General features: G+C 42.9%; 1 protein-coding gene and 1 pseudogene across 1 annotated transcript in view, besides 1 other annotated feature; both read left to right on the forward strand.

Moving 5' to 3' along the window:
- The window catches only part of CFAP61 (cilia and flagella associated protein 61), a 308167-nt gene that overhangs the window by 257723 nt on the left and 37817 nt on the right, over window positions 1–12627 (forward strand). The window lies entirely within an intron of this gene.
- Window positions 6501–6740, forward strand: RN7SL690P (RNA, 7SL, cytoplasmic 690, pseudogene; annotated as a pseudogene).
- Window positions 7107–7206: an enhancer, noted in NCBI's record as "active region_17607". NCBI's record gives its function as "activates an Ori minimal core promoter by ATAC-STARR-seq in GM12878 lymphoblastoid cells {active_cell/tissue: GM12878}" and the evidence as "EXISTENCE:reporter gene assay evidence [ECO:0000049][PMID:35858748]".

Below are 12627 nucleotides of genomic sequence, written 5' to 3' on the forward strand. Positions count from 1 at the left end.
GAGTGCTGGGACTACCACCACACCCAGCCCTTATTAGTTAACTTTGGAACCTACTGCAGCTTTTGTGTATCTGGTTCTGGTTTTAACTAAACTAACCCTCCACAAAATTGACATGAGCATTTAACGGATTGTTCAAAAGAAACTACAGAATGCAAAGCCTGGCAAAGCAGACACACATGAACCAGGAAAGGGCAGGGCCAGATCATCTCCTCTTCCTCAGCCACACTGTAAGTACCATGGTTCGTCTCTCAGCTAAGGTTCCACTGCAGACAGCAGAATCCTCTCTAGCTGGTTTAAACAGAAAGCAATATACTGCCAGTTATGGGTGCTTTATACAATTCCTTCAATGGGCTGGAGGAGCAGGCTTTAGACTGCCTTCCACGAAAAATTCAGAAAATGGCTCCGCAGACCTAGCCAATCTCTGCCACAGTGAGGAATTTGTGGAACTGAGAAACTGCCACAAAAGTTGCCAGCTCCATGACCAATCCTCTCTGGCAAAATCCACACCAGCAAAATGGGTACACTAAGCCCTGATTTCTGCCCCCTTCTGCTACAGCTGACACCAAATACTGCCACAGCCAGGCTTGCCAGCAAAAGCAAGAAATGCAGTGGAAGCACCTCCTCAGGGTGTTCCATGGAGTGAGGGAGAGTCCCTCCTCAGGGTGTTTTATAGAGTGGAGGCAGAATCTCCACCTCATGGTGTTCATGTCCATCGTCCACGTCCTGCACAGGGCTGTCTCTTTGGATGAAACTCAGTCCCATGTAGAACCTACACTGGACATGAGTCTGGAAATTGTAGTCTTTCCCTTCCCGGCCTGTGATATTTTGGCTAAATCATGCTACACAGTATCTTGAGTGTGGCTGGCTGAAACAGTCTACAGTATCTCTCATAGCTAACTAATCAACCTTGACCAGAAGTCAGCCCCCACAAAATGCAAAACTATCAAGAAGACTCTGGAGTTTGTATTTATATCTACTACCAGTGAGGATGATGGTTCTAATAATATACAGGTCCACAAAACCCTTATCCAAAATCCTAGGAGCAGATGTTGTGGAATTCTATAACTTTTTTCAAATTTTGGGAGGAACCAGACTTACCCTCCCACATGAAACAACTAAATAGCTGCCAAAATGTAAGAAACAAATTTTTAAAAAAGATATTAGACATCAGGCAATGAAGGACTGTGATCTTTGAGAGATGGGAAACAAAGAAGGTGAACCCTGTGGTTGATCCAGCTGACGGCCTTGAGAGAGTTCCCAGGCCACAGCAAGGGGAAGCAGAGCCCATGCAGAGTCCTGAGTGGAGGAGAGGGAGCCGAGAGTCCGGGGAGACCAAGGCAGGTGGAGTTGTCAGGACAGAGGGAGAGGGAGCTGAGGGTCCGGGGAGACCAAGGCAGGTGGAGTTGTCAGGACAGAGTACTGGAGAGGAGAAGGTTGCACAGAGAGAGAAGCTTGGAGATGTGCAGAAGCCTCCCCTGGGAGCATTCAGTTGAGTACTGGTCAGTCCATGTGGGCAAGGAAACTGCCCAAGACAGGGGAAAGAACCACTCTAAAGGATTAGAAAAAGCATGACAGTGTCTAATACTCACACAAGGCTGGGAACGCTGCCTGTTCCCACCAGCCAGACTTGAGAACTTTAAGATTAATGAGGCAATAGGTAGGGTACACAAAAGGGACTCATCTCAGTAGCAGGGAATAATTAGTCCTAAACCAAACATTGCTGCAGTCCGACTTAATAAATCTTGAAAGCAAGACATGAATGTATCAAATGCTTTCCAAGTAACTTATCTACATCTGAAAACAAGTTTAAGAGTGTTTATAGGAATACTGAAAATTTCCACACCTAACAAAATGATACAATTTCTGATACCTAATCAAAAAATTACTGAGAAGGCAAAGAAACAAGAAAATACAACCCATAATGAGGAGAAAAATCAATCAACAAAACCAACCCAGAACTGACTCAGATGTTAGAATTAGCAGACAAGTATGTTGAAACAGCTATTATAACTGTTACTATAACTGCATTCCATGTGATTAAAAAGTTAAGATGTGGAAAACACATAAAAGACCCAAATCAAACTTTTAGAGATGAAAACTACAATGTCTGAGACAAGAACTACCCTGGATGGGCTTAGTTGCAGATTAGACCTCGCTGGGAAAAGGGTAAGTGAACTTGAAGACATAACAATTGAAACTGCCCAAAATAAAACACACAGAGGAAAAAGAATATAAAACCATGAACAGGGTATCAGTGAGGAATGGGACAACTTCAAGTGGCCTAAAGAAATAACGACCAAAATTTTTCCAAATTTGATGAAAACTCACAAATCTGAGAAGCTCAGTGAATCTCAAGCATAAAAAAAAATGAAGAAAACTATGCCAAGGCATATCATAATCAAACTACTCAAAACCCACAATAAAGAGAAAGTCTTAAAAGCAACAAAAGACACGGGCACATTCTTTACAGACGAATAAGATGAAAATGACAACAGATTTCTCATCAGAAGCAATGCAAGCCAGAAAACAGTGGAGCAACATTGTTAAAGTACCATTATTTTTTCAAATTTTAGAATGCATTGATTATATATTATGTAACAGCTCCGGACTAATAAACATGGCATACCCCCCCATATTACATACACCATCCTACCCATGCCAACCAACATTTCTTGAGTTATTCTGTATCTCATTATTTAACTATTTAATTTCTCTATTGCCTTACTGTCTTCCAACTGATAGCCTTGCGTATAGCCCCAATGCTGTGGACTGAATTATGTCCTCTCACCAAATGTATATGTTGAAGCTCTAACCCCCTATGTGACTGTATCTGGACATACAGTCTTTAGAAGGTAATTAAGATTTAATGAGATCATAAGGATGGGACTCTTAGGAGAGAAAGAGACAGATGTCACTCTCTCTCTGTCTCTGATTCTCTCTCTATCTCTCTCTCTGTCATGTGAGGACACAGCAGGAAGGTGGCCATCTACAAACTAGAAAGAGAGCCCTCACCAGAACCTAACTATGTTATCACCTTGATCTTGGACTTTCAGCCTCCAGAAGAGTGAGAAATACATTTCTGTTGTTTAAGCCACCCAATCTATAGCATTTTGTTATGTCAGCCTGAGCAGGCTAAGAGATTTACACCCCAAGTTTGTTGCTTCTTTATATCCCCGCAATTCAGTAGGCTGCGGTGTAGGCAAACAGAGGGTGTTTTGCTCTTTCCAATGGCAGATGGTCATTCTGTCCAAGGCCCATGGTACCCACTGGACACGTCTGTGTAGCAGTGATGGGAATGGCATCCATGTCAGAACCTGGATCCAGTCCCGGGTTCTAACATTATACCAGCCTTAAGTTCATTCTCTAGGCATAAAGGTAGTGTCCTCATTCTCACCAAACCGAGTAACATGAGTGAAAATGAGAGAGCACCTCGTGGGTGTCTTAGTCTGTTTTGTGTTGCTGTAGTAGAATACCTGAGACTGGGGAATTTGTAAAGACGAGGTTTATTGAGCTCACAGTTCTGCAAGCTGGGGAGTTCAACAGTGGCATGACCCTGGCTTCTGGTGAGAGCTTCTCTGCTACGTCATAACATGGTGGGGAAGGTCAAAGGGGAAATGGAGACCTGCAAAGACAGTGCCAAGGGGCACTCTGGCTTTAAAACAAACTGATCCTGAGGGAATGAATCCACTCCCGTGAGAACCAATTCAGTTTCTCCAGAGCAAGTACTCACTCACTACCATGAGAATGGCACCAGCTATTCATGAGGCATCTGCCCCCACTACCCAAATACTTCCCACTGGGCCCCACCTCCCAACACTGCCACATTAGGGATCAAATTTCAACATGAGAGCGAGTGCAGTGGCTCGTGCCTATAATTCCAGCACTTTGGGAGACTCAGCAGGGAGGATCACTTGAGCCCAGGCATTCAAGAGGAGCCTGGGCAACATAGTGAGACCCCATCTCTACAAAAAAAAAAAAAAAAAAAATTAGCAGGGTGTCTTGGTGCATGCATGTACTCCTAGCTACTTTAGTGGCTGAGGTGAGAGGATCACTCAAACCTGGGAGGCAGAGGCTGCATTGAGCCAAGATTGCACCACTGCACTCCCCAGCCTGGGTGACAGAGTGAGACCCCATCTCAAAAAAAAAAAAAAAAAATCAACATGAGTTTTGTTGGGGAAAAAGAAACCATAAACCATAGCAGTGGGGGTCCTTCAAACCTTGCTGAGTGATGCTTTCTTATACAAGCCTTGGTTTTTGTTTTTTTTTATTATTATTATTTATTTTTTTTATTATTATTATACTTTAAGTTTTAGGGTACATGTGCACAATGTGCAGGTTAGTTACATATGTATACATGTGCCATGCTGGTGGGCTGCACCCACTAACTCGTCATCTAGCATTAGGTATATCTCCCAATGCTATCCCTCCCCCACCCCCCCACCCCACAACAGTCCCCAGAGTGTGATGTTCCCCTTCCTGTGTCCATGTGTTCTCATTGTTCAATTCCCACCTATGAGTGAGAATATGCGGTGTTTGGTTTTTTGTTCTTGCGATAGTTTACTGAGAATGATGATTTCCAATTTCATCCATGTCCCTACAAAGGACATGAACTCATCGTTTTTTATGGCTGCATAGTATTCCATGGTGTATATGTGCCACATTTTCTTAATCCAGTCTATCATTGTTGGACATTTGGGTTGGTTCCAAGTCTTTGCTATTGTGAATAATGCTGCAATAAACATATGTGTGCATGTGTCCTTATAGCAGCATGATTTATAGTCCTTTGGGTATATACCCAGTAATGGGATGGCTGGGTCAAATGGTATTTCTAGTTCTAGATCCCTGAGGAATCACCACACTGACTTCCACAAGGATTGAACTAGTTTACAGTCCCACCAACAGTGTAAAAGTGTTCCTATTTCTCCACATCCTCTCCAGCACCTGTTATTTCCTGACTTTTTAATGACTGCCATTCTAACTGGTGTGAGATGGTATCTCATTGTGGTTTTGATTTGCATTTCTCTGATGGCCAGTGATGGTGAGCATTTTTTCATGTGTTTTTTGGCTGCATAAATGTCTTCTTTTGAGAAGTGTCTGTTCATATCCTTCGCCCACTTTTTGATGGGGTTGTTTGTTTTTTTCTTGTAAATTTGTTTGAGTTCATTGTAGATGCTGGATATTAGCCCTTTGTCAGATGAGTAGGTTGCGAAAATTTTCTCGCATTGTGTAGGTTGCCTGTTCACTCTGATGGTAGTTTCTTTTGCTGTGCAGAAGCTCTTGAGTTTAATTAGATCCCATTTGTCAATTTTGGCTTTTGTTGCCATTGCTTTTGGTGTTTTAGACATGAAGTCCTTGCCCATGCCTATGTCCTGAATGGTAATGCCTAGGTTTTCTTCTAGGGTTTTTATGGTTTTAGGTCTAACGTTTAAGTCTTTAATCCATCTTGAATTAATGTTTGTATAAGGTGTAAGGAAGGGATCCAGTTTCAGCTTTCTACATATGGCTAGCCAGTTTTCCCAGCACCATTTATTAAATAGGGAATCCTTTCCCCATTGCTTGTTTTTCTCAGGTTTGTGAAAGATCAGATAGTTGTAGATACATGGCGTTATTTCTGAGGGCTCTGTTCTGTTCCATTGATCTGGATCTCTGTTTTGGTACCAGTACCATGCTGTTTTGGTTACTGTAGCCTTGTAGTATAGTTTGAAGTCAGGTAGTGTGATTCCTCCAGCTTTGTTCTTTTGGCTCAGGATTGACTTGGCGATGCGGGCTCTTTTTTTGGTTCCATATGAACTTTAAAGTAGTTTTTTCCAATTCTGTGAAGAAAGTCATTGGTAGCTTGATGGGGATGGCATTGAATCTGTAAATTACCTTGGGCAGTATGGCCATTTTCACGATATTGATTCTTCCTACCCATGAGCATGGAATGTTCTTCCATTTGTTTGTATCCTCATTTATTTCCTTGAGCAGTGGTTTGTAGTTCTCCTTGAAGAGGTCTTTCACATCCCTTGTAAGTTGGATTCCTAGGTATTTTATTCTCTTTGAAGCAATTGTGAATGGGAGTTCACTCATGATTTGGCTCTCTGTTTGTCTGTTGTTGGTATATAAGAATGCTTGTGATTTTTGTACATTGATTTTGTATCCTGAGACTTTGCTGAAGTTGCTTATCAGCTTAAGGAGATTTTGGGCTGAGACAATGGGGTTTTCTAGATATACAGTCATGTCATCTGCAAACAGGGACAATTTGACTTCCTCTTTTCCTAATTGAATACCCTTTATTTCCTTCCCCTGCCTAATTGCCCTGGCCAGAACTTCCAACACTATGTTGAATAGGAGTGGTGAGAGAGGGCATCCCTGTCTTGTGCCAGTTTTCAAAGGGAATGCTTCCAGTTTTTTCCCATTCAGTATGATATTGGCTATGGGTTTGTCATAGATAGCTCTTATTATTTTGAAATACGTCCCATCAATACCTAATTTATTGAGAGTTTTTAGCATGAAGGGTTGCCTGTAATCCCAGCTACTCGGGAGGCTGAGGCATGATAATCGCTTGAACCCAGGAGGCAGAGTTTGCAGTGAGCCAAGATCGTGCCACTGCACTCCAGCCTGGATGACAGAGTGAGACTCTGTCTGAAAAAAACCAAGGCAGACAGAGTCTCACTCTGTCATCCAGGCTGGAGTGCAGTGGCACGATCTTGGCTCACTGCAACCTCTGCCTCCTGGGTTCAAGCGATTATCATGCCTCAGCTTCCCGAGTAGCTGGGATTACAGGCTTGAGCCAGCATGCCCGGCTAATTTTTGTATTTTTAGTAGAGATGGGGTTTCACTATGTTGGTCGGACTAGTCTTGAACTCCTGACCTCAAGTGATCTGCCTGCCTCCTCCCAAAGTGCTGGGATTACAGGCATGAGCCACTGTGCCTGGCCTCTTATGCAAGTCTCTTGATTCCTCTAAGCCTTGTTTCCCTTATCTGTAAAAGGGGCCTTATAATTATTCCCTGGGGTGTCTTTGAAAACTAAAGGAGGTGCTGTACAGGAAGCTTTCAGATCTGAATCACCCCTGGAGGGACTGTTCCACAGTCCCTGGGCTGCACAGCTCCTCTCTCTGCCCTGGGATTGCACTGCTGCAGGCCCCAAACGTCTTCAACCTGGCACTGTGCGTGCTGCTCAGCGGTGTCCCCAGCACACACCCAGACAGCTGTGCACAGTGACAGATGGCAGAGCCCCAGCATGGCCTCAGCCATTTTCACTTCTCTTTTAAAGATACTTTTTGTCACCTTCTTCGCAAACCTTAAGTTGTGTTTTGTGACTTATTGTTCACTCTATCTAGTAATTTGGGGAGAAGAGGGCACCAAATGCCACCAACGATGCCCCTGCAGCTGCTAATAGGTGCCACTCTTTGGATCCCACGGTACCCTCTTGGCCCCAGCGGCTCTGACAGCTGCTGGGGCACTGTCTGCCAGGCCAGGATACGTGCTGAAGGCTCTGAGGGCAGAATAGAACCCAGCGCAGTCACGCTGGGATCCCAGAGTTTCACGGCATTAATAATCTATAGTTCAATCATTAGGAGCAAATCCAAGTGAAATAGGAAAGTGTACACCACGCTGGAGGCCGTGAGGCTGCTGGGAGAAAGGCTTCTCTGCTCCTTGGCAGGCTTAATGATTAGTTCCCAGCCACTAGCAGCCCCAGCTGACAAACGGCGCCTGCAAGCTGTAGGCTTTCTGCATGTGATAATTGACAAATGCTGGAAGTCATTCAGGATATTCACATGGACTGGCTACCAGGGATCTGCTGGGCTTTTCAGGCCCCCAACTCAAACCCTCTCTTGTACCAGGAAGGACGTCCCTTCTTGGGTCAATCGTTGCCCTCAGGACAGATCTGCAAGTGGATCTTATGCAGGGTGCCTCCAAGGCTGCTGGAGTCCTGGGGAGGATTTGACACATGAACGAATGTGACCCCACTCTCTTTTTCCAATTATGTGTTGGATTGAAGTGCCAACTTAGGCCTGTATTGCAACAGCTCAATCTGCAGCACACTAAGTAGGAAGAGATCTGAAGCAGAGAAGCATTTTTAATTTCAGAGTTTTTAAAAAAATCATTCATTTCAAGAGGTTATTGGATAAAGCATTTTTAAAAGGTTTTATTTATATTCTTCTTGGTCATAAGCATTAGTCAGGAATCTTGTCTGCAAGTGACAGAAGCCCAGCTGAAACCAGCGGACACTGGGAGGAGACTTTCGTGTCTCCCACAGCTAAACCGAGGAGTGCAGGGCTGGCACCGGAGGCATGATTTGAAACGCCGTTGGCCCTTTGTCCCTGCTTCCTTCTCTGGGATTGGCCTCCCCTGATGGTGGAAATCATGGGGAGTCCCAGGCTTATGCATCTTACAGCTTGCTATTTAGAGGATAGAGCACCCTCTCTTGCCTAGTGCCACCTTGAAAAGTTCCTGGGGAAGGACTCCAAACAGCCTGGCTCCCATGATGTGTCTGCCCACTTAGACCATCAGCATGGCCATGTCCCAGCCCTGAGGCCAGGGGGCAAGGCTGCTTGGGGGTCAGGAGGGATCCTGGGCAGACAAAAAGCTTTCCTTAAACATCAGTTACTTACTGGATGTATTCACAGACTTTCAGCCTCTCTGGGTTCCCTGAGTGGTTTTGGCTCCTCCTTCCACTTCTGGTATTGCATAAAATCCTCCACCACAGTTCATAACATCTGGCTCCCAAGAGGCCACATGATGCAGGGCAGAAATGCAGGGTGTAATTCTCTGTGGATAGGAAGGAGCCGGAGAAGACAAAACCCTTGTCTCCGCCTCCCATTGGCTGTCCCAAGACCCTGATTCTCTATACAGCCTGTCCTAAGTTATCCCTCATGGCTGAGTGAGTTCTCCTAGCGTGAAGCAGTGGCCTGCCCATAATACATAGTTCTGCATTGCTCCCCATCTTCCAGGAATAATGAGAAGCTCCTAAAAGCTTCCAGTGAGTAAAGCAGGTCACTTAGAAAGGAACTAGAATCAAACTGGTGTCAGATTTTTGAATAGCAACCTCAGAACCTAAGAGATAATGAGGCAATGTCTTCAAAAGTCTGAAAGGAAATAATTCCAAACAATAATTCTATTACTGATATGGTTTGGATTTGTGTCCCCACCCAAATCTCATGTTGAATTGCAATCCCCATTGTTGGAAGAGGGGCCTGGTGGGAGGTGATTGTTTCATGGGGGCGGATTTTCCCCTTGCTGTTCTTGTAATAGTGAGTTCTCATGAGATGTGGTTGTTTAAAAGTGCGTAGCACCTCCCCTTCTCTCTTCCTCCTGCTCTGGCCATGTAAGACATGCCTGCTTCCCTTCAACCATGACTGAAAGTTTCCTGAGGCCTCCCTAGATATGCTTCCTGTATAGCCTGTGCAACTGTGAGCCAATTAAACCTCTTTTCTTTGTAAATTACCCAGTTTCTGGTCTTTCTTTATAGCAGTGCAAGAATGGACTAATACAATTACCATCCATCAAGTAAGAACCAATGGGATAGGACTATTAGTGCTCATAAATGAAGGAGAAATAGTATGACTAGAATATCATCATTTTCCAGAACCCCCTAGGGAATCATGGACATGGGTATGGAGCATCAGTGGCTGCTGATATAGAAAAGGAGGCAGCCAGACCTCATGCAGTCCTTGGTGGGAAAACACACCACCTGCGAAAAACAAGCCAAATTGAACCTGAGTCTGACTAGGACTGTTGATCTACCACCAATATGTAGGAAACCGAGAGGATAGAGGAACATGTAAAACATGTAAAACACAGAGCTGAAGTATATTAAATACAGAGTGGGAAACTATGTGACAAACAGCCTGATTCCCTCAACAAATAAATTGCAAGAAATAAAACTTGCAATGGAGGGGGGCCTATGAATTAGCATAGTTTTTAAAAACATATCACCCTATTTGGATCCTGATTCAGATAAACTGTTAAACAAAAATCTGTGCCATTTATGAGGTGATTGGAAATTTGAAACCTGGAGAGTTAATGATGATAAGCAATTATGATTAATTTTTTTAGCAGTAAAGATGGTATTTCAGATATATAGATATATATATATTATATATATGTAATATATATAATATATGTAATATATATTATATATATGTAATATATATAATATATGTAATATATGTAATATATATTATATATGTAATATAATATATGTAATATATATTATATATGTAATATATAATATATGTAATATATAATATATGTAATATATATTATATATGTAATATATAATATATATTATATATGTAATATATATATATTTAAAAACAGAACCATTATCTTTTAGAGATACATACTGAAGTGTCTGGAGACATGCTTCAAGATAACCCAGGAGGGAGAATGGTAGAAGGAACTAGAGATGACCCAAGACTGCCCTTGAGCTAATAACTGTTTTAATTGGGTAATGGATGATGGGAGCTCATTATAGGTATATTTCTAACTTAAACATAATTTAAAATTCTCATAATAAGGAGTTATTTTTGAGAAGCAACCAAAGTTGTAAACTAAGAAGGAGTAAGGAAGGGGCTGTGGCACTGAGGGGCAATGTAGAGAAGTCCCAGCTGCCAAGAGGACAGCCAGGTGGGCCAAAGAGGAGAGGAGGGAGGGGTCCTGGACACAATTAATTACTTGGATTATTTGAAATGTTTACATGGAAAATAATTTTGAAGGGTGCTTTACAGAGCTGCTGGAACAGTTTGAAAAAAATTATACTAGATACATTAAAAACTAACAAAAATAGGGCAGTTATTAATTCTAAGAAAAGTTAAAAGTTATACAAGAAAGGCCTGTGATTAATATTGCATTGTTAAAATAATGTAATCACAGAATTCAAATTTAACCAAAAAACTGTGATACAAACTATTTGGGAAATTGGGAGAGAGAGAAGTGAGGGTTTGTGTTTTAAAAAGATAAAACTTCATTTATCATAACAAGGTGTCAATAGTTATGCCTAAAGTTAATAAATGAGAGTGTCTGGTGATTCTCTTCAAAATAACCTAGGAGGGAGAAGAGTAGGAGGAGCTAGCAATGACACAACATGGGCCATGAGTCGTTAACTGTTGAAACTGGGTGATAGGTGATGGTAACTTATATAAGTAATCATATTTATGTCAACAATCATTCAAAAAGTATCTGATAATCTCTGAATTACTTAACACTCTGGTTGCAAGAAACAGAAATCAACCAAAGCTATAGATTTAAGGTAAAAAGGAGAATCCATTGTGAAGTTTCATGGTTGTATCTAACAGGACAAAGGGCAGAGATAAGACTAGGTTTTGGGAAGGAACCACAGCAGGACAGACAAGGTAGGGAGAGATCATGCAGTGGCTGCTTCTTTCTCTTGCAGACTGGCTTTCTCTGCTTCCCCCACAGCTCCCATGTTTACGTTGCAAGCCCCAAAACCCATAGAAATTATCCAGATGTACGTTGGTCCCAACTCCAGTTTCCTTGGAGAGTGATTGATAGGTATGGCTTGGTGAGACAGTTTCAAACTATGACTGCAAACCATTTGGCCCTCCTCCCAGAAAGAGTGTAAGGTGTATGTCCCCTGCCCTTGAACCTGGGCAAGCTTGTGATTGCTTGCTTTTACCAATAGAGTTTGGCAGAAGTGAGACCATGTGACTTCTAGGACTGGCTTATAGAAGGCCATGCAGTGTCCAACTTGTTTGCTAGAATATTCCCTCTGAATTTCCTGGCCTGACATATAAGAAGTCTAACTATCCTCAGACCACCATGCTGTGAGGAAGCCCAAGCCACATGGACAGGCCATACAGGCACTCTAGCAAGTGTCCCAGCTGAGCCAAGCCTTCAAGTCATCCCAACCCAGGTGCTAGACATGTGAGTGAAGAAGCTTCCAGATGGTTTCAGCCACAGTCATCTGAGTGGCCCCCAGTCACTCATTGTTCCATCTGATACCCCTGTCATCATGGAGCAGAGCCAAGTGATCGTAAGCATAATAAAATGGCTGTTGCTCTATGCTACTGAGTTTTGGAGTGGTTGTTGCACATTAATACATAACTGAAATGCTCGGATCAAATGACGTTCCCTGTTTCCTGACATGAAGTCCCAACATGACTGTTGGGGGCCTACCCCCACAAAGAGAGAGGGATGGCAGGGGGTTGAGCGGATTCCAACAAACCTCAAGGCCTTCACTCCATTTCTGAGCCTGATTTCACAGCAGCCTGTTGCCTATCTGGGTGCAGGAAAGGAGGTATGGACTGAGAACTCTTGACCTCCTGTATCTAAGCCCCCTTCTCAATTCTTGTTCTCCCACATAGTAAGCCAGTGTAAAGGAGGAAAGAGGGAAGTGGTATATATTTGCCGTGGTAAATGGTATCATTAACTCCCTTCCCTTCCAGTCCCATGGTGGTCTTCCAGCAGAAACAGTTACCAAGAAATGGGAACTACCCTCAGAGTTCTGGCATCTTCCTTCTGTGGCCTCTCGAGAACAGAAGAGATCATTAGAGGGTCCTCGTGTTGCCTAGCAACCTGTGAATGCTGTTTGCTATCATGTTATTAATATGGTAGGAAAGTGTTTCATAGAAGACATTCATCTTGCATTAATGAAAATCAAATTTACTAATATGACACAAA

Source organism: Homo sapiens, chromosome 20 (assembly GCF_000001405.40).
Source record: "Homo sapiens chromosome 20, GRCh38.p14 Primary Assembly".
NCBI classification, from domain to species: domain Eukaryota; kingdom Metazoa; phylum Chordata; class Mammalia; order Primates; family Hominidae; genus Homo; species Homo sapiens.